This window comes from Homo sapiens, chromosome 7 (assembly GCF_000001405.40).
Source record: "Homo sapiens chromosome 7, GRCh38.p14 Primary Assembly".
In the NCBI taxonomy this organism is placed as follows: domain Eukaryota; kingdom Metazoa; phylum Chordata; class Mammalia; order Primates; family Hominidae; genus Homo; species Homo sapiens.
In genome coordinates this window covers 43,523,050-43,545,156 of record NC_000007.14, presented here as the reverse complement: position 1 = coordinate 43,545,156, position 22,107 = coordinate 43,523,050, and the positions used below count along the sequence as shown (strand labels likewise).

The following is a 22,107-nucleotide window of genomic DNA, read 5'->3' as shown; positions in this document are numbered from 1 at the left end:
CCAGGGAGATTCTATGCATATGCTGGGGAATGTATATATATCACCTTTAAAAATTTTTAGAGATGGGGTCTTGCTATGTTGCCCAGGCTGGTCTTGAACTCCTGGCTTCAAGAGATCCTTCCACCTCTGCCTCCCACAGTGCTGGGATTACAGGCATGAGCCACTGTGCCTGATCAACATAAACTCTTTTTCCCTGTAAACAGTAGTGTGTTTTACACACTGTTCTTCACTATCCTTTTTCTCTTAAAACTATATCTTAGACATTTTTCATGCCAATTTAGACCTGTGTTTTTCTTTCTTTATTGTTGTTAGTGTACCCTGTTTATTGCTCATGATTATATGTGAATTGAGGGGTTGGGGTGTCCTCATGCTTTTTAATAACCCCACATGATTTCACTACTTCATTTAGTAAATGTATCATTTATTTAACCAGTGCTCTACTGCTGGACATTTAGACTGTTACAGATATTTTTCAACTATCAACAAGGCTGTGATGAAGATCCTAATATATTAGTAATTTTAATTAGGTGTTAATGTATCGGTAGGACAAATTTCTAGACGTGTGCTGAGTCAAAGGCATGTGATTTAAAATATGAACCGATATCACCAAAGTGCCTTTCATAGAGAGTGAATCACACTTCCACCTACAATGGACAAGAAGGTCTGTTTCTCTACACCATCCCAAAATACTGGTAAATTTTCTGATTCTTGACATTCTAATGAGGGAAAATGGTATCTCACTATAGCGTTAATTTATTTTAAAAAATTGTAAATGAGATTATCTCCTTGTCTTTCCTTTTCTGGGAACTATCTATATTCTTTGTGACTTTTCTATTAGGTTGTTGACTGATAATTTCTTATTGATCTGTGGGATCTCTTCTGATATTGAAAGAAATAGTCTTTATGTTATGTATTAAACATTATGTTGCTTTCAATTTGTTTATAGTATAGTTTGTCATGCAGAAATTTAAAAATAATATTTGACTATGTCAGATGACTTCTATGACTTTGAGAATTTGTGCGATATCTGTATCAGCATTCTTTAGTGCAAGATTAAAAATAAAAATTATCTCTTTTTTCCTTTTTTAAAAATTTTTACATTCAGGTTTCTGATCCAGCTGGAATTTATTTAGTGTCATGAGTTAGGTTAGGGATCTAACTTAAAACTTTTACAGATGGCTACCCAGTTGTCTTAATACAGTTTGTTAAGTAATTGTGTATATTTTACAAACTTACCCTCTACAATAGGGCATATGTGAAAGATGGGCTAAAAGTAGTCATGCACAGAGAACAGTGTATTTTGCCTGTTCAGTGAGTACATGGCAGGGAAGTTAAATGAGTAGTTTTCTTTTTTTTTCTTTTTTTTTTTTTTTTTGTGAGATGGAGTTTTGCTCTTGTTGCCCAGGCTGGAGTGCAATGACGTGATCTCGGCTCACTGTAACTGCTGCCTCCTAGGTTCAAGCAATTCTCCTGTCTCAGCCTCCTGAGTAGCTGGGATTACAGGTGTCTGCCATCATCCCCAGCTAATTTTTGTATTTTTAGTAGAGACGGGGTTTCACCATGTTGGTCAGGCTGGTCTCGAACTCCTGACCTCAGGTGATCTGCCCACCTCAGCCTTCCAAAGTGCTGGGATTACAGGCGTGAGCCACCGTGCCCAGCCATGAGTAGCATATTCTTGAACATATTTAAATGTGCTCTCCAGAGTTGTAGGAAGAAATATTTTTTTCTCAAATACGTAAGACAGCATTCTTCAGAGGCATGTTTTTACAGAAGAAATACAACAGAATGTTGACATTTTCCAGGACCTAACCAAGATTCTTGACTGGGATGCGGTGCTTGGTGGCCTGCAGCATTCATTCATTCTCATGCAGCGACCCAGTGCACTGTCCACATTGATGTGAGGCACCTCTAAAGCATTCTGATTTAACTATCACAACAACCGCTGTTACGAATTACCTTATGTCACAGACTTTAGGTCTAGAAAATGAGGTTCCCCAAACCTTGTTTGTTAAATCTACTCAGGCTATGGTTATTTTCTGTTAAAATTGTAACCCATTTGATCCGAAGATTTGATGTTATATAAATGCTAGTAGAAAACAAATGGGAAACTTTATCTTATTATTTAGTGTTGAGATATATGTATTTTGGAGGAGTAGCTATCTGGATGTGATAAAAAGAATCATTTCTGTAATGGCACAGATAGCAGAAATCCCTGACGTATGTATGACGTACTTCACAAAAATGCTTTCTGATCCATTATCATATCTGATTTTCAAAAAACTCCATAAAGTAGATCCAGGTCATAACAAGAAAAAGAAGAAAGAGGACACGGGCAGATTTATTAAAGGAAGTAGTTCCCAAGGAATTGGTTTGAATGAATGAGATCCCTTATTCGCTAATTTAAAAACAAAATCCCATTACCACATGATCTAGCAATCTCACTTCTGTGTATATATCCAAAAGAATTGATCTATACAGCAGGGACTTGAACAGATATGTGTACACTCATGTTCATAGCAGCATGATTCACAATAGCCAAAAGGTGGAAAAACCCAGGTGTTCATCAACAGACAAATGGGTGAATGGATAAAGAAAATATGGCATATATGTATATATATTTGTTTATATATATATAATATACACATAATGAAATATTTTTCAGCTTTAAAAAGGAAGGAATATTTTATATACATATAAAGGAAGAATACTATATATATTTGTATATATATGTGCATATACATATATATCTACATAATGAAATATTATTTAGTCTTAAAAGGGAAGTAAATTCAGACACATGCTACAACATGGATGAGCCTTGAGGACATTATGCTAAGTGAAATAAGTCAGCCACAAAAAAACAAATATTGTATAATTCCACTTATATGAAGTATCTAGAGTAGTCAAATTCATAGAAACAGAAAATAGAATGGTAGTTGCCAGGAGTTGTGGGTGGGAGAAATGGAAAGTTATTGTTTAATGGGTACAGTTTCTGTTTTGCAAGATGAAAAAGTTCTGGAGATTGGATGGCCAACAATGTGGATATACTGAAGCACTGAAGTCTACACTTAAAAATGATTAAGATGATAACTTTATGTTATGTGCATTTTCCATAGTAAAAAACAAAATCCCTTTTCCAAACCCCATGTCACACAAACCTGTCCAAAAACCTCTTCATTAACAGTGAAAGTGAGGTCTAAGATGTCTGTGATGTTGTTGTCCTTCATCCACTGCAAACTCTGGTGGAATTCCTCATCCAAATATTCCAGGTCACTCAAATCACAGGGCCTGGGTGAATTCAGTGAGAAAGGCAAATTACCAAACAAATGGCTGCCCAGACCTCACTTCAAAATGTGGTTATATCATTCCTGGCTAAAACATCACAGACTTATCCTAACAATTGGATACTTTTGAATCCACTGATGAATCAGATTATTCAGTCATTTTAGTTCATTCAATGATTTTCCTTTGAAAAGGAAATGTGAAATTGTTTACAATAACAAACATGAAATAACTATTGACTCAGGGACTCTGCATGAAAATTGGAGAAAACTATCATTTTAAAACAGTTATGCTATAAACAGATCAGTTCTACTTAACAGTTTAATGCAATGTTTGTAATATTATTATAATTTTATATAAAATGATTCATCTCCATGATATGAGATTTTGATAATAGAATCTTCCCTTACAACAACAACAAAATCCCCAAATACCTTTTTATTGTGCTAAAAAATGTAAGTGATATCTAAGCACTCAGAACAGGAAGCCACCATAACCCTAACAGGAATGGTTAGGGCAAAATAGTGACAAAAGGGTCAGTGGCACCAGAGAGGTCGGTGTCCTTGCCCTGCAGACAGGGCTGGGTTGGAAGCATGGTCTGCAAAGCACTTACAGTCTCAGGAGTGCCTTGTAGAAGGGCCTCGTGAAGAAAGCGTCAAGAAGGTACTGATGGATCAGAGCCAGACCCAGGATGCGACCGCTAAACCTGAACCTGGAACACAGACAAGGCAGAGAAATCGGTAAGTGGAAATTTACATTGTTAAATATTTTAGTTTGCACTTTTATTTGATGTGTTTGAGCATTCATCTTAAGCTGCTTAAGGAATCTTCTCATTGATGACACAAGGGAGGCACCTGTTCTTGTCCTTTTGCTTTACCATGAACAATCCCTGTGTGCTTGTTAGGGACTAAAGGAAGCCTCCTCTTCCAGCCATGTAGCAGACTCGAGTCATTTTTCCAGAACCTTTTTCAGACCGTGGAGAATGAGGACCCAAGAAGAGAAAAGCACTGGGAAGGGGAATTCAGAAATCTTAGATAAAAAGCCCACACTGAACTGGAAGAGGACCCAGATCCAGTGACACAGAGGGCTTTCTGGATGTGCGTCCTTACCCATTCAAGCATTTTATCTACATTACCTAAGGTCCATGCTGGCAGGTGGAGGGTTTGAGTATGGAGCCCATATGGCAGTTGTGCTTGCAGATAGTGGGGAAGAGTTACATAGAATCACAATATGGTAAGAGATAAGCTGAATGAACATCACTCTTTAAAATTGCCAGCCACATAAAAGACAGAACGAGGTCACTGCTAAGAAGAACTGGCCATACAGATCTGGCCACCTCCAGATGTAAGTGCCTTTACTGATTTAAATGCTTGTCGGAGCATTGACTTCCTGAGCATTTTGCAAGTAACCTGCTTAGCAAAATGCTGAGGCTACCTGGGCTTGGTTCCATTGTTGCCTGCTCCTAAACCAGCTTCTTGCCTGCCTGGTCTAGCATCCTATGCTTTCCCCACCATGTGGGCCTTGCCTATCTCTGGCACCTACTTTCATAACTGGAGTCTTCCTGGTGTCCACTCTAAGTAGGTTTTCACCTTATCGGGGATTTAGTGGTGAATTTTCTCAGATCCTCCCTGGTGGAATTTCCAACTAATCTATCTCCAATGCCTTTTATGTGGCTCTTTTTAGACTCAGAGGGTTTCCTACTCTATAGCTGCTATAAAGATGTTAAAATGAATAGATTATCTGATTCCACAGAATAAATATATTTATAAAAACACTTCAAATTGGTATGTTTGAAGTAGTTGATTCTTTTTCCATGAAATAACATGCTAGTGTTATTGACTCTGAAGAGACTAGAGTCAAACAAAACCTCAGTGAAAGTGCTATGGGGCACTGTGGATAGGGGGCTTCTGGGACAATGGGTCCTTGGGCCTGGGTACCCCACCAGTGCTTCATTCCTGGGTGCCCTTTCCCGACCACCCCATAACTGACCAGTCTCCAAGACAGTAACCACAACCTGTGTATAAAAACAGTTATCTTCTACTCCAATAGAAGATTGGCTCACCTACTCTAAATAGACTCTAGGGCATTGTAACCAATGCTTCTAACATGATAGTAGGGTTGTGGCCATCTAGGTCGAGATGACCGAGATGATCCAAACCAGGAAAAGACTAAAGGTCAGCACAGAGGTGATGGGCCCGTGGTTCCGCACTTAGAGGTGGCCCCTGAGGGTCCAGTAAAGAGAGCTGGGAATCAAAGCAGGTAGTAAATATATGCAGATATGAAATAAATGATAACATTAAATGAGATTACTATTTTCAGCTTAGTGCTAAAAAATTAAATATCTCAATGAATTACAAATTTTCTAGCAAAATAAAAATTATTCAAATTTATTCAGGAAGATGTAGAAAACTTAAATAGACCGATAACCACAGTGCCAAGTAGGAAACTTTGAGGAGAAAGGACTATCTCCAAAATTGATACTGGGACTGGATATACATATTTTTAAAGACATGTTCTTTCAAAAACTCAAGGACAGTAAACCTTTCTGCTATTTCAACAGTTCCAGAAATCAGAAAAGGGTGGAAAACTTCTTAATTCATCATTGTGAGCTACCATAAACACAAAGTGGAACCTGGAAAAGATACAACAAGAAAGAAAACTAGAGAAATTGCACTTGTACATAAATCCTAAATTAACACAAGAGAATTGAACCTACTAGTTCATTCCCAGAATAATGCAAAATGATTAAGGATGTTCAATTAGATAAGGATAGTTCAGTATTAAAAATTCTATTACTAAAATCAAGTATAAGGTCAAAAGACAAAAATCATACCACTTTTTTTTGGTTACAAACTGGAAAGTTACTTGAAAATATCCATCACCAATTTCTGGAGAAAAAAAAATCTTTGTAGTAAACCAGCAATAGAACAATGCTTCCTTAACAAAATAAAGCACATCTATCTCAGCAATATATTTAACAGTAAAAATACTGATGCTTGTTACTACCACTCTTCACAATATTCTGTCAGTTCTAGTCACCGCGGTTAATTATAAATGAAAAATTGGAAACAGATTAGAAGTAACTTTTATCAAATGCCTACTGGGTAAAGGGCACGTTATTTACAATATCTCATTGACCCTTGCAACAATTCTATTTTATGGTTTTGGTCATCTCCATTTTGCAGATTAAGAAACCGAGGGTCAATAATTAGCCCCAGGCAAGTGGTTCAGCGAGGAAACTGACCCACATCTGCCTGACACCAGACCAGGCCTTTTCCTCTGTGTCTATTTTGAGATGTGAGCGATGGAGAGGTTGCTACTCTGGGTTCTGGGGCCAGGCTGCCTGGTGTGTGATCTTGTGCAAGCATTTAACCTCCCTCTTCTCAGTTTCTTCTTCTGGAAAACTTCACTATTTAATTGTTACCTATTTTTGCTATTAGTTTTTTATGTTAGCTACCAACATCTCTTGTGCTAATTAGATATATTTTGGTTCAGGTAATCTTCAACCAGCTTAAGCCCTCTAAGGCCACAGTGGTATCTCAAGGAATCCAGGGTCAGGAATGCAGTTGGGCCTCAGGAACTCCAGGGACATGAGTGATATCGCCCTCCCTCATCCAGTTTCTCCCTTTGGCTCCTCTAAGCTCATTTCTCCTCTCTCACTGCCAACACCTCCTGTGGTTTACATACCAGAGTTCAAGCGCAAGAGAGACCAACTTGACTCCCTCTGACCTAGGTCTAAATTTTCAGCATGATTCTCTGACTGTTCTAACTCAGGTTGGATGCCCACCGGATCAATCATGAGCAACCAGGGAAGAAATCTGAGTCTCGAGTACTTTGCAGCAAGGACCACTTTGCAGCAAGGACCACTCTCAACCAGCGGGTGGGATCACTGTTGCATGCCTCTCAACCAGGGGGTGTGGCGACGGGGTTTCCTAGCCCAGGGGACTGCAGCGCAGACTGCCAACAGAGAATTGTATATTTGCTTTGAATTGGGAAGACCATAAGGTGGAATTTCCAAAGTCAGAATTACACTGGTTTCTCGGACTGACATGGGCAACAAACAAGCCATAGCTTTTTTAAAAAAAATAACTGTGCAACAAAGCTATGATAACGTGGTTTGGCTTTACATAACCACAGACGGGATGACTCTAAGCCAGTCCCATATATACCATAAAATATATTCCAGAGCCATGAACTATGATCTGGGGCATATTTGTATAAAGCAAAATACAGCAACTGTACAATTCAAATCTAAAACAATAGCTGAAGGAAAATAAAACAATAGCTGATGAATTGCTGTGTGTGCAATTCCATGAATGAGAAAACACCTTCTAGTAATGGTGCACCTCCTTTATTTATCTTGTATATTTATCTCCCCTAAACTAAACAATTGCCTGTGGGGAAGTTGATTACATTAGCTGTTAACACAGGTCACAAACGAGGAGGAAGTATGAGACAGAAAGAAAATACTTTTCCTTAGTCTCTGGATCTAAGATAGTGTGTCTAGGTATGAAGAAACTATCCCAATAATTTAAGCAAAATTAAATGCTGAGGTTTCGAGCTAAGTTACTTGGCATAAATAGAGTTCAGAGGATAAAGTAAAATAAGACCCTACAGGAGTAGCGGAGCCGCTCCCTCTGCCTGTGGGTGTGAATCTGTTACTTAAATACCGGGCCCCAGGGCCCCGTTCGAGAGCCTGTGTGTGTGAGCTTGCAGGGCTTTGCTCACTTCTTTCTCTCCATGGATCTCAGGAGTCTCGACCGATGTTGCAGGCCACCCCTGCTCCTGGGGTGTAGCACTGCTCCCCTCTTTTTCTGCGCTGACATTCTGGCGGCCATGCTTGAACGCAGCTTCTACCGTCTCAGCCTCTGCAACTCAGCACATCACAGACGTGTGGTTCATGCGCTGCCTGTGCTGGTGCCGCCGCTGCCTGCCCAGGCTGCAGCCCCGCATCTGTGCTTTTTCCTGGCCTGTGCTCAGTTTTACTTTGCCAGGAGGGAGTGGCTCCTCCGTGTTGTCCTGCTGTCTTAGAGGGGCCTCGCGGAGGAGTTGCCTGGGCCCTAAGAGTTTACAGGGACTCTTTTGAAGTTTGCTCACCGTCCTTTAATCCCTAGGGCAGCCAGGGCCTGGTGGGTGGAGGGAACAGCTACCATGTTCACCTCTACCCCTCAGGCTGTGTTGGGCACCCTGGCTCCCTAGGCCATTCTTCTGCTTCTCATGGGGGCCATTGTATCTGAAGGGCCCCCAGGTCCCTGCTCAGAATCTGCTTTCTGCTGTTTCCCATGTGTGTCTAAGTTCCAACGATGGGTGCCCTTCAACTCCTCTTCACAAGAGAGACCTCAGCTCCCAGGTACCCAGCAGGTGCACATGCACACGTGGCTGAGGAGAGGAGGCAAGGCGGGTCAGCCCATGTAACCTCCCAGCAGCGGGTGGTGGGTCCCAGCCTTTTCCCCATTCTAGCCACACCCAGATGGGTCAGGAATGGAGCCTCCCCTGGGCAGTGGAGGGGGAAGAGTCTCTCTCTCTGGCAATGTTTTCGGTGTAATTTGAAACCTCCCAGGAGATTCTGACATGCCATCACCGTAAGACATATTCCTGACTTTTAAGAAACACATAAAGCATATTTTTCTATTTATTTATCAATTAGAGATGTGTTTCCACCCATTTAGACCTGAGACCACAGAAAGATTAGCAATATAGCAAAATACCAAGAACCCACATTTAACAACAACAACCAAATCCTTTCTATTGAGGATCAATGAAGTCCAAGTCTCCTTGGTGTGGAAAGCATGCTCTGTTTTCCTTCAGATGAAGAGCACAGACAGTTCATGGTTAGATTCCTCAATCCAAACCACAACTCTGTGGTTTGTGGGAACATTCCTGGACTCTGATATAAGTTATTTTCATATCCTTGGTTTTAGTATGTTGCAAGTTTTTGTTTTTGGTATCATCAACCCCTTCCCTCCTGCCAAAGAAAAATAACAGAATTGGTATTTTTTAGTGTAAAGTAAAATACAAGTGATATATAAAATATTTTTAAAAAAGTGAGTCAACTCTGTCACCCAAGGTGACATTTATGGCCCTGAGATGACTCTTCCCCTGATTACCAGTTGGTGAGAGCAGGGGCATACATACGTAGATGGGACCTCTGTGCCATCATGTTCCCACCACGGTACAGTACGGACACCCTCGATACATGCAAATAGTGGTTTTCATTATCCTTTAATACACTGCAAAATATTTCTTTTTAGGAATGCTCTATGCTTGGTTCAGCCGTTTCCCCTCTGATGGAAACATATATGTTTTTCATCCTTATCCTTCTGCTCATAGATCCTGAGGGGAAGCCTGGACCCAGTGTGCACTGGGACTGTGAACTGGGAATGAGCAAATGTCACTCTTGGTGCGCGCACATCAGCACCTCCCCAGATGTCTGGGAGATGAACTTGACCTACGCTGAAGAAAACTACAGCCACTCTGACCTTTCAAAAACACATGGAGGGCTCTTACGGCAGGAGATCTGAAGGGAGCTAATGTTATTGGCAAGGATTTCTCATAGTTCCATCTGGGTTTTGCACATTTTAGTGAGAGTTCAAAAGGTAATTGAGTTTCACACATTTCCAGCCCATCTTCCCAAGTGGCTTAAAGGCCCCAAAAAGACTCAACCCTCCCCTTCAGCGCATTGCTGTTTGTTGACTTGACTCTTCTTCGGGCCATTTGCCAACAATTCAAGGAAGGCAATGTGCTGTGGAGGATGATATCACAAGGTCTGATGTTAGGCTGCCTTGGTTTGGATCTTGTGACCTGTGTGACTTTGGGACACCTGTTTAATATCAGTTAACTTGCCTGCAAAATGGGAATCATATTGGCACCTACTGTATAGGACAGCTGCTAAGATGCTAAAAGTCCTTTGTACAAGGACTAGTGGAGGTCAGTCCACCTGAGAGTCTAATGAATTCCTATCCATAGACTGGCATGTCTAGTTTCTTACATCACACTCAGAACCCTAGGCCTAAAAACCCATTCTGAATTGAAGAGTGAAAACGTGGATTGGGCTGACAGTGGCTAGCCTGAAATTTCCTGCTGCAAACTTCTGCTCTGCTTACAAACAGCATTTATGTATCATGGTACCTGGCACAGTTAAGGTCTCAATTAAGATTTGTTGAATGGAATTAAACTGAAAATTATCATCTGGTTTTATCCCAGTGGAGCGCAACTATACAAACCCACAGAAAATGTCTGAAATGTCTTATACCATTTGAACCCTGTTTGACTAGGTTAATTGCTCAAATTTCCAATAGCTGCAGTAGGTCTCTACCCAGGAAGATGGACAGAAAGCACAAACTGCAGAGGAGAATTTAGGGGCTGAGTCAATGTATGGAAAGATGTGGCAAATGTTTTACATCAAGGGGCTGAAATAGCAGGTCTCCCTCTCCCTTCCTTCTCTCCCTCTTCAGTTTCTCTAGTGAACTACTGTTGGGGAACATGTTTTAGCAGGAATTAGTATGTAATGATTTCAGTGTATTTTTCAACAGATTATTTAAACGAAAGCAGTTTTTGTAATGACAAAAAAATGCAGTTGGGAAGTCTGCAAGAGGAATCTCTTATTTACAGGCCACGATTTATGGAAGGGGAAGCGGGATAGTTTGCCAAGCCAAGAAAATAAAAGACCTAATGATACTCTGGAAGGACATTTTGGATAGTGAAAGAAAAGACTTTAAAAGCCTTCTAGTTAATCCTTTTATACGAAAGTGATATAAAAATTGAGCGAAACCCTCAGTGCAGCACCCAGGCAATATGCCAAGTCTGAAAAGGCTCTGTAGGGCATTTCTGGCAGTTTGATTTCCCGGCATTAAACTTGGGCTGCTAAGGATTGATTCAAGGGGTCTCCTGCTTTGGGTGACCTTCTTAGTCTCTTCTTCTTGATCTGTTGCCCCAACAGATCAGGCTACTCATCTCCTTCTGCTTAATTCTTGGCTTCTGCATCTTTTGATGCATCACAGCTCAGCATGAAAAATACTCCCTGATAAGCTTCAGACTTGGGAGACCCAAAGCTGGGTCTTCCTGCCTGGAGAGCTGATCACATGGTGTACTGGGCACTGTAAAGAGGCTGGGCATTTGGTGATAATGTGCTTGGCTCTTGTGCCTTTGGTGAGGAGGTGGGGGCTGAGGCAGATGCAGGAACATGTGGCAGGACACTGAGGTCTGTTAAAAACCCTGCACGCAGTCGTTAGTCTATAAAGGCCTCTTCTAACCACTATGGCATCTTCTGGAGCACAAACGTCTGTCGAAACAAGCACTGTACTGGCAAATTTTGGGGGTTCACACATTTTGTTGGGTCAGTGAATGAGGCCAGAGGGTTGCTATAACTGCATCCATGCCTGGATGCCTCCAGGACACCATTGTAATGTCCTGTTTCCCAAGCCATGACTCTGGGGACTGCATTCACCTATGCATTGCCTACCACCTGTAGGTTGACAGCCAGGTGGTTTGTGTCAGCTGAGTTCTAGAAGATTCTTTCTGTAGCAGTCATGTTTTCTATCTCTGATACTTCCTGGATCTTTCCCAGACACTGCTTCCCTGGTAATGGACCAGGACTTGCATGGGTTAAGTTCCTTTAAGGAGTCTTTTGCAGTTCTCAAAAGAATAGAGTTGGTTCCTCAGCCTCAGCACTGTTGATGTTTGCTTTCTGGTGTATTATAGGATGTTTAACAGCATCTCTGACTCCTACCTACTAGATGCCCAGTAGTACCAGCCTCCCAAGCTGGGACAACCCAAACTACCTCCTGACATTGCCAGTGTCCACTGGCGGTGGAGAGTGATGGTGCAAAATCAACCTCTCTTGAGAACCACTGGAATAGAGCACAGGGTGTGGGAAAATATATCTAAACAGGTGATGATATACTCCTTTCTAACTTGCCTTTCTTGAAAACTTGAAGAAGGCTGACTGGGCCCTCTGAGGCAATGCAGGTCTTACCCCTAAGGCTTTGTGCTCCACTCTGCACATTTGAGCAGCTTTTCATCATTCTCTGAATCTGTAAGTGTACTTCCTACCCCACCAAATATCATCTTAAACTCCCACCAATAATTTGGGCTCCAGGTTTCTTTTGGGGAAGTGATGATGGGGGAGAATAATTCCTTCTGAATGTGCCAGGGAGTGTCAACATTGCTGAGGGGATGATGCAGGACCTGAGTAAAGAAAAAGAGTGAGCTCCTGGAGAATGAGCATCACAAGCTGGGGGACAGCTTAGGGGATCTAAGGTGGGAAGGTGTGTGGTTTGCTTGAGCAATGCAAAGAGGCCAGTGGGGGTGGACTCCAGAGAGAGAAGGGGGAAATGGCAGAACATGAGTTTGGAGAGGCACCCAGGGGATAGATCATGCCGGACTTGGCAGGCCATGGGAAGGACTTTAGATTTCATTCTAAGTATGATGGGAATCCATTGGAAGTTTCGTGTAGGGTCTTTGGAATGAACCGATGTGTTAAAATGATCACTCTGGATGATGCATGGAGAGAGGTGAGTCTGGCAAGAGTGAAGGCAGAGGCCTGTCTGGAGGCTTCTGCATCCAGATGGGAGGTGATGGTGGCTTATACTGGGGGTGGTAGTGGAGGTGAGGAGGTCAGAGTCTGGATGTATTCTCAAGATACAGCCAAGGGAATTTACTGATGCATTTAAGGGGAGAGATGAGAAAAAGAGAGGCACCAGGAACAGTCCACGGCCTTGGGCCAGAGCAACCGGGTGCCATTTACTGAGATGGGAAACACCAGAACAGGGCTTGGAGGAGGAAATGGAGAGTTCTCTTTCAGACATATTACGTTTGTGCTGCCTATTTATATCTGAGTGGAGCTGTGGAGCAGGCAGTTGTACTTAGGAGTCAGTACCTCCGGGCACAGGGCCGCACTACAGATGTCACTGTGGGGCCGTCAGGATGCAGATGGCATTTGAAGCCAGGCATCTGGACAAGATCATGGAGGAAGTTTGTGCAGATGGAGAGGCGGACCCAGGGCTGAATGTTAATTGATGCAGCATTCGGGGATCTGGAAGATGAGAGGCAACAATAAAGTACATGAGAAAGAACAGGTGGCGAGGCTGGAGGAACAGGGATGTGGAGCGCATGGTGCAGGAAGGAGGCAGAGGCCGACTGTGTCAAATGCCTCTGAGATCAGGTAGTAAGCAGTCTGAGAGGTCACCAGATGGTTTTGGCAATCTTCATTAGGGGTGCAGGGGAGGAAGCTGGCTGGAGAGAATGGGAGGAGAGGCAGTGGAGAAAGCCAGCACAGATAACTCTTTCTAGGAATGCACCTCTAAAGGGGAGCAGTGGAGTGGTCAGTGGAGGAGGGCATGACATGGAGGTTTGGGTTGTTGTTTTTTCAATGTGAGGGAAATTGCAGTGTGTTCATACGTTTCCAATTTCAACAAACTTATCAAGTGCCTACTATGTGCCAGGTGCATAGGAAGATCCTAAGGTACTCATTCATTTTGAGTTTACAAGCTAGGAAGGGAGATAGACACAGCAATGCAGTATCTCATCACCACAGAGCAAGTGGTGAAGAGAAGTGCACAGGGTGCTGTGAAAACTCCGGGGAGGAAGCATAGCTTGGCTCTGGCGGGGTTAAATCCAGGCAGGCCTCCTGAAGGAGGTGACAAGTGAGGTAAGCCTAAGAATTAGCCTGGAAGAATGAATAGAAATTAGTTTGCTTAAGAGGACAGGGAAAGGCTTTCCAAGAAAATAAAATCACATCGGAAAAGAGTCAGGAAAGATAATGGTATGTGTTTAGAACAGCGTGCAATTCATGATTACTAGAGCATACAGAATGAGGAAGGACAAGATGTGAGATAAGGTTGTGGAGAGAGATAGCAGGAGGTCCTGGAAGGTCTTATTTTCCATGCCAACAAGTTCACCCTTTAAACTGTAGACGATGAGAACCCATTGACAGGTTTAAACAGGGGAGTGACATGCTTGTTTTGGCATTTTTAGAGAAATCACTTTGCACCCATATGAAGGATATAGATTTTAGGAGGGGGCAGATTTGGAGGTTATTACAATATGTCAAGGGCATCATGCCGAACAATTTGGAGGTAAATCAGCAGGACAGTGAGCAGCAGCAGAAGAGAAGGATGACAGGAAGAAGTGGCTTGGTGGGAGAGATTAATTATTAACTTGGAGGAGGATCAAAGTGGAGATGTCTAGTAGGTATTTTGATAATAAAGTTTGAAGCTCAATAGAGAGGTCAGAGCTGAAAATATAAATTTAGAATTCATATGTTAGTATGGAGAGAAGTTTATAAAGCAGTAAACTTTGATTACATTGCTATATTTTATATAAAATTATATCTGTCTTTCCATCCATCCATCCATCCATCCATCCATCCATAAAAGATATGGAAAAACTTAGGTCAGAAGAATAATGGCATTTATTTCTGTATGGAGATATTTTCTTATGTATATTAAATTTTTTCATAATGAGTATACCTTACTGATGTGATAAAACTATGTTTATTTACTTATAATAAAGATATAATAAAAACTAGGTGACAATGGCATGTCAGAATCTAAGATGGTAGAGTTTCAAATAGGAGTTTGTATCTACTGCAGTAAAGTGTCGATTACAGTAAAGCATGAGCCAGGCATGGTGGCTCATGCCTGTAATCCCAGCGCTTTGGAAGGCTGAGGTGGGTGGATCACCTGAGGTCAGGAGTTTGAAACCAGCCTGGCCAATGTGGTGAAACCCCATCTCTACTAAAAAAAAAAAAAAAAAAAAATTAGCCAAGCATGGTGGCACAGGCCTGTAATCCCAGCTACTTGAGAGGCTGAGGTGGGAGAATCGCTTGAACCTGGGAGGCGGAGGTTGCAGTGAGCCGAGATTGCACCACTGCACTCCAGCATGGGTGACAGAGCGAAACTCTGTCTCAAAAAAAAAATAAATAAAAATAAAAAAAGTAAAAAGTGGTAAGAGTTCACTGGCTCTGTTGATTAGATGGTCTCTGCTGCTCATGGAAAGGGCAGTGCTGGTGACGATTACTGAAATCAGACTTCAGTAGGTGAGGAAGTGAGTGAGGGAGAGGAGCAGAGCAGGGGGAGAGCATGAAGTGTAAAGATCCATGAGAAAGGGATGACTGCTGGAGAGGCATGGAGATGGGGACTGGTGGGCCTAGAGCCTGAGTGGGCAGGTCCAACTTGAGTGGAGGAATGGACTCCAGCGAGGGTGTTAAGGTTGGGTAGCATTTTTATTTGGGGTGAGAAATTGAAGTGGTCACCTCAGTGTTTCCATTTCAGTAGGGTCTGAAGTCATCTCACAGTGGACGTGATTTTGGTTGATGGAGGCTTTTGGGACAGTCAAATGGAAGATGCCCCTGTAACAGGACTGGTGAGCTTTGCTGTGGCACTTTCTGAGGTCAGGGAGTGTGATTTAGAATTGTACCCTTTCTTGGAATTATTTCATTTTCTCCAGGGCTAGAGCTATAGAAAACTACCCTGGCATGGAATGGGGAAGAGTGAGTTACAATACTAATCCACAGTGGCGTTTTGTCCTTCAGATGGGGTGCAAGCATGGAGCAGGGAGGGAATTGGGTGTGCAGGGAATGAAGGCGCTCAGGAGGCCTGGGATGAAGGAGGCCATGCCAGACTATGAGGAGACAGAGAATCCAAGGTGAGAACGAGCTTGGCAAGGAGCGATGGTAGGGGGAGGAGGTGGGAACGCCGGCTGTAGAATGATTGACAGTAGGATTTTAGAGTTTTCAGTTTCTGACATGGCACAGTTCTGGGTGATAATGAGGTTGAGAGGGCCACTGTGGGAGCAGGTGGCTGGAGTGGAATGTAGGTCACTGCCACGGGGGTTAGGTAGGTTTGGTCTATTCTCTACACCCACCTTTATTCAGATACTGTTTTGGGGAATGTGTAAAGAATCTCCTCCCCAATGCCCCATAAAAATTGTTTAAATATTGCAGATGCAAGTCATGATTTATATTTGGTTTTCATAGCTTCCCTTTATGTGGAAATGATTTTACAAATTAGCTGAGAAAACTTGAAGTTTTCTTCATCTGCCATGAAAGAGACTCTGCCAACACAGGATAATGACAGGATATTATCTTCGGATTGCTAATTAGCAACTGAAATGAATGTCTAGCCCTGGTGCCGCCAAGTCCCCTCCATTAATATCTGCCCTGCAGGGGGGCAGAGGAGTGAGACCAGAGCTGCTTCCCCTCAACGTGGTGGGCCAAGTGTGCGGTGTGCCTCTCTTTTAGAGAAAGCACTTCTAAAAGTACCTTATGCAGACTCTTAACAAACCCTCTGACCATATAGAGATGGCAAATAACATACTTAGTATTGCTCTTCAATTCAATGAAAAACCAGTTGTGGTAAAACTGATCATTCGAAAGTGTGATATTTTTTGACCCATCATTCTGGTTAGCTTGTGTTAATACTGAATGTATCAATCACATTTTCCCAGATTATAAGGATTAAATTAGGTTAATGTGGAAAGGAGTTAAGGAACAAAGATCCAGGAAAATAAACCTTCCCATAAATATAGAGAACATTACCCCACCTTTGATTTCCTCCCGTATCTAGATGTGTCCAGGTATGTTACCACTCTGGCCCTCAAAGATGCTTTCATTGACCTCTAAAGCATGATTTCTCCTTAGCTTCCAAATATTCTTTACTGGGAGAGTTGAAATATTTTGTTTTGCGATATCATGGATGCTCATGACTGAGATTATGTCTACAAGTCGCAAAAACGATGTGCATTTAGTTATCCAGGCAAGCAGCCTTTCATGGTCAAACGACTGAACAATTCACTCTACAAAATTAATCAAAGTAGTTAATTAATGGACCAAAATAGCTTAGCTCTCAGTTTAGCTATTAACGTTAGCTAATAGCTCAGTTTTTAGTTATTTAACTTTCTAGCTATTTTACCGTTGTCTGAGCCTCAGTCATTAGTTCTCCAGGTTGACTTTTTTGTGAATTTGCTTTATGAGCTCAGGCAAACAGTTGAAATTTTTTTCACTGGTTTCTCTGTTTACCTTGGGAGAATACTACCAATTTCTTCTCAGAGGCCTTTGGGGGCTTTTGGAAAGATTGGTGAATTTTCTATCAAAATCTGGTGTATTCTTTAGAAACAGACACTCCAAAGGTTCAGAGTGAAACATAATACTGCATTATTAAACTTGGTGGTTTCCATGATGGGAGGTATCTGAATGGGTTGAATATTGGCTCCCACAAGATATGCCCATATCCTAAACCCTGGAACCTGTGAACGTGATGTTATTTGGAGAAGGAGTCTTTGAAGATATAATTAAGTAAAGGACCTCAAGATAAGATGATCTTGGATTATCCAGGTGGGCCCTAATCCATCGACAAGCGTTCTTATAAGAGATAGAGAGGAGAGGACACAGGAACCGATGAGAAGGCCATGTGAGACAGAGGCAGAGACTGGAGTGATGCAGCCACAAGCCAAGGAGCCGTTGAAATCCCAGAAGCTGAAAGAGGTAAAAAAAGGGTCTCCCCTGGAGCCTTCAGAGGGAGTGTGGCCTTGCTGACACCTTGATTTTGGCCTTCTGGCTTCCAGAACTGAGAATGGCCAGTTTGTGGTAATTTGCTATGGCAGCCTTAGGAAAGTGAGGGAGTGCCCACCCGCAGCATAGCCCTCCTCCTTGCTTGTCCAGAACACCTTTCACTCAGCATAGGATCTTGGAATTTGTAAGTGTTCCACTAAAGTAATATATTTAATTTCACGCAAGAAGGGAATTTATCTAGTTTTAGAATGAGATACAGTGTCTAGTTCCAAGCCCAGAATTATATAGAAAATTTGACCATAAAAGGCTGCTTGCCTGGATAACTAAAGTGCTCTGAAACCTGCTATAGCCTCAAAAATTTTTTCTTTTTTTGAGACAGAGTCTCACTCTGTTGCCCAGGCTGAATGCAGTGATGCGATCTCGGCTCACTGCAGCTTTGACCTCCTGGGTTAAGTGATCCTCTCGCCTTAGTCTCCCGAGTAGCAGGGACCACAGTTGCACACCACCATGCCTGGCTAATTTATTTTTTGTAGAGACAGGTCTTGCTATGTTGCCCAGGGTAGTCTCAAACTCCTGGACTCAAGCAATCTTCCTGCCTTGGCCTCCCAAAGTGTTGGGATTACAGGCGTGAGCCACTGCACCTGGCCCTGCTATATCTTCATCTAACTGGATAATACAGGAAGGTGAAGGTTTAGAAGCCTTAATTATTTGAGCTGCACAGACCAGAGAATACAGGAATGGCAATGCCATTGTGTTCCGGGCAGAACCCAGAGTGCCTTATTGACCCTTTAAATGTTATTATCTCTTTCTTACCTGTGATGCATTAACCAATGCACAATATTTCCATAAATCTGAGTCAGGTTAAAAAAAATCAACTTGGGCTAAACCAAACAATGTTTAGAATTTCCACTCCATTCATTCATTCAATCTTTCTATGAATCATAAGTTATCTATCATCTGCAAGGCACTGTGCTAACTGCTGGAATACTTAGTGAACATAATAGACAAGGCCCTCATGCTCCCATGGAGTGTACAATCTAGGGACATTATGCTTCAGGAAGATGTTAGAATTATTTAAATATGACCTAAGTCTAAACTGATGTAGCATTCTGTAATTTTCACATGAATGGCAAAATAATAATGGCTCTGACAACATCAAGTTGCCATGCCACACAAGATCTATGTACTGATACAATCAGGATACCAGAAATACCTGAAGCTATTTAAGTAATTGGTTCTGAATTAATTGCATAGATAGAGGGAAAATATGGAATGCATAAGCCAAATAAAATACTAAATCAGTATAATATTGAGGCTTGTGACTATGTTCTATGATGCTTTATTGTTTTGAAGATTTACCTACTGATGATATTTTTCTTTAGATAATAGAATTTATTGATACTCTTTAAAATTAGACTATAAAGAGAAAGTCCCTAGAAGTCTGGATAGTAGGGACAGCCAGTGTAGCCTTTGTTTTCTATTCATCATCTGAAAGTAGGAAGCCTCCCCTCTCCTCTGTACCCCTAAAGGTCCCAAGGCTGATCTGCTCTCAGCCTAGGCTGGAGGATCCATTTCCTGGATTACATCACACACTTCCCTAGAGGTCTATAGTGATTCCCATTTATCGTTCACAATGATATTCCTGATCATTAGTTTTATACATCTCCACCAACATCCCCCTTCTCCGATCCTGAGATCACTGAGCTACCTTGGTTCTGTTCTCAATTTGATTAGGATTGTACCTCTGTCCCTGGTCCACCTCTGCTAATGCCATTTGCAGTACTTTTTTCAGCTGCGCTATTTTTAATTGAGAATAACTGATGCTAGGTGGTTTACAATGGGCCCACCCCTCCTGTCATTCCAGTTTCTGTTGTTGTCAAACTCTTTACCCTCCACCCCGCTGAATGTATCCCTCCTCTCATGAAACTGGGCTGAACAGAAAGACGTCTTTATACTTTCATATAATTTGCTTTTTAAACCTCTCCCAACAGACAAAAAGACTTTTGAATGCAATATATTGATTCTGTCCATTCTATTTAGCATTTAAATATTCAGGAAATGAACTGATTTCATGGAAATTACATTTTCAGTAATTTAAATAATAGTTCCAATTTTGTTAATTTTCATACTTAGAGTCAAGCCTAAAAATTTCTCAGCCATGATGCTGACCACATATTCCGACCGATTATTGGGCTTGATATTGTTACTAGAGTGCTTTACTTTCCTTTGTCCTTGAAGCAAATTTCTAAGGTAGGCAGCATCGATGTTCATTTGTGTAATCATGCCATAATACATTCATAAAAAAGAGTTTTGAATCAACAAATAAAGCATAATTTTTAATCCCTATTTTATATTAGGATGCTGAAATAAGATAATGTAAAGAGTCTGCTCAAGTTAATTAACGCTGATTCTCGTGAAAACCTCCTCAGTTTAAATCCTGATATACCAGGGAAATTTGGAGACTTGTAAATAGCATTTCATGCCCCTCTACAGGACACAGGAGCTCCTTCCACCTCCCACTAATGCTTGCTTACATAATTTTGCAGTAACTTCTTTTCCAAATATTACAAGCACACGGGAGAGCTAGAGGTGAAACAATAGCCCCAAACCTGGGTCTCCACAGTCTCTAGTAGGAACTTGTGAAAAAAGAATTCTTTCAATTTTAGCTCTGCATGGGCATGTCAAAGCCTCTCCACTCCTCTCTTCCCATCTACAAATAAGGGATAATAATGTTAGTATTTGCTTACTTACCTCACAGGAGAATGAAAAGAAAGAGTAATTTAATGTTAATAGGTTCTTTGAAGATGAAAAGTACTTCATAATTGCTAAGTTCTATTACATTTTTAAAAACCCATCTCAAAGATACCCCTCTTTCCTTATCCTTCTAACTTTGTTTAATTAAAAATAATTATCCTTTCTCAACCTCATTATTTAAGTAATAAGACTTCATGACGTTCCCACACAATGTATGTTTCCATGCTTTACTCAGTGTTACTGCCTTCAGGTTTGGTCTTCTCATATTTTCTAACTTCTTATATATTAGAAAATCTAGTGAAAACCTGTTGTGTCTGCCTGGGGTAGATTTCATTTCAGAGTGTGAAAACTGCATGAACAGCCAGCTTTTTTTCTCACACTCTTTGAAAGACTCTTGACGCTGCTAACATCTAAGGCAAAATTTCTCAAAGGTGGTGGTGACCCTTCCATTGGTATCTGAATCCCTGGGGTGTTTGTTAAGATCTAGGTACCTGGAGATCAGACTCTATGGGGTGGGTTATGGAAATCTGCATTTAAAATAAATTCTGCAGTTGCCGACTAAAATTTGAGAACCACCCATTCCAAGTCCCTCATCTTTTTTTTTAAGATGAAAAACATAGTCTGAAGGTCAAAAGTGAAGTTTTTTGCCTTAGGCATCACTCATTGCATTTCCTCATGGATACTGGAAGAAGGGATGGAGGACAGAGGCTTTTCTAGAAGCTGAGAGTATGAATGGCTCCACTTGGCCTCCTCTCACACCACCGCCTGCAGGCACATGCATCCTTGCCTCCTTACACCCCACTAATTGGGGGGGTCTTCTTTTTATCTAATCCCCCTCATATCACCAGCCTCTCCCTCCCTCTGGTTCTTGCTTTCGGCGCCTCTCTCATTAGTAAGTACATCTGCAATCTACACTTGCCATTTATTTCCCTCGATCTCAAGGAAAAAGGGGCTGACTCTTTTCTTTTTTTCGAGATGGCGTTTCCCTCTTGTTGCTCAGGCTGGAGTGCAATGGCGAGATCTCTGCTCACTGCAACCTCCACCTCCCGGGTTCAAGCAATTCTCCTGCTGGGGCTGACTCTCTTTCAAAGCTAATGTCTTCACTTGGGCTATCTATTGTCTTTCCCTGCCTCCTCTGGGCTCTTCTTCCATCCACTTTTTGCTCTCTCTTATAATTCAAGATTTCTCTCTCTTCTGACATTGTCTCCTCAAAGGCCTTGCATCCTTCTAGCGGCCCCACAAAGCCAAGCTCCTAGAAAGAGCAGTTTTCAGGGCTGTTTGATGCTGGTGTTTAAAAATACGAGCAAGGCCAGGCATGGCGGCTCATGACTATAATCCCAGCACTTTGGGAGGCCGAGGCAGGTGAATCAACTGAGGTCAGGAGTTCGAGACCCCCCCCGGCCAACATGGAGAAACCCCTTATGTACTAAAAACACAAAAATTAGCCGGGCCTGGTGGCACACACCTGTAATCCCAGCTACTTGAGAGGCTGAGGCAGGAGAATTGCTTGAACCTGGGAGGAGGAGGTTGCAGTGAGCCAAGATCGCACCATTGCACTCTAG

General features: G+C 41.9%; 1 protein-coding gene across 19 annotated transcripts in view; it reads right to left on the bottom strand.

Annotated features, from left to right (window-relative positions):
• HECW1 (HECT, C2 and WW domain containing E3 ubiquitin protein ligase 1) overlaps positions 1-22,107 on the bottom strand; it is a 453,355-nt gene that overhangs the window by 20,845 nt on the left and 410,403 nt on the right. For all 19 annotated transcript variants that reach the window (NM_015052.5, XM_017011883.3, NM_001287059.2 and 16 more), the window contains 2 exons: positions 3,896-3,994; positions 3,159-3,288 (listed from right to left, as the gene is read on the bottom strand). In NM_015052.5, the coding sequence (NP_055867.3) occupies positions 3,159-3,288; positions 3,896-3,994 (229 nt within the window). The remainder of the gene's footprint in view (positions 1-3,158; positions 3,289-3,895; positions 3,995-22,107) is intronic.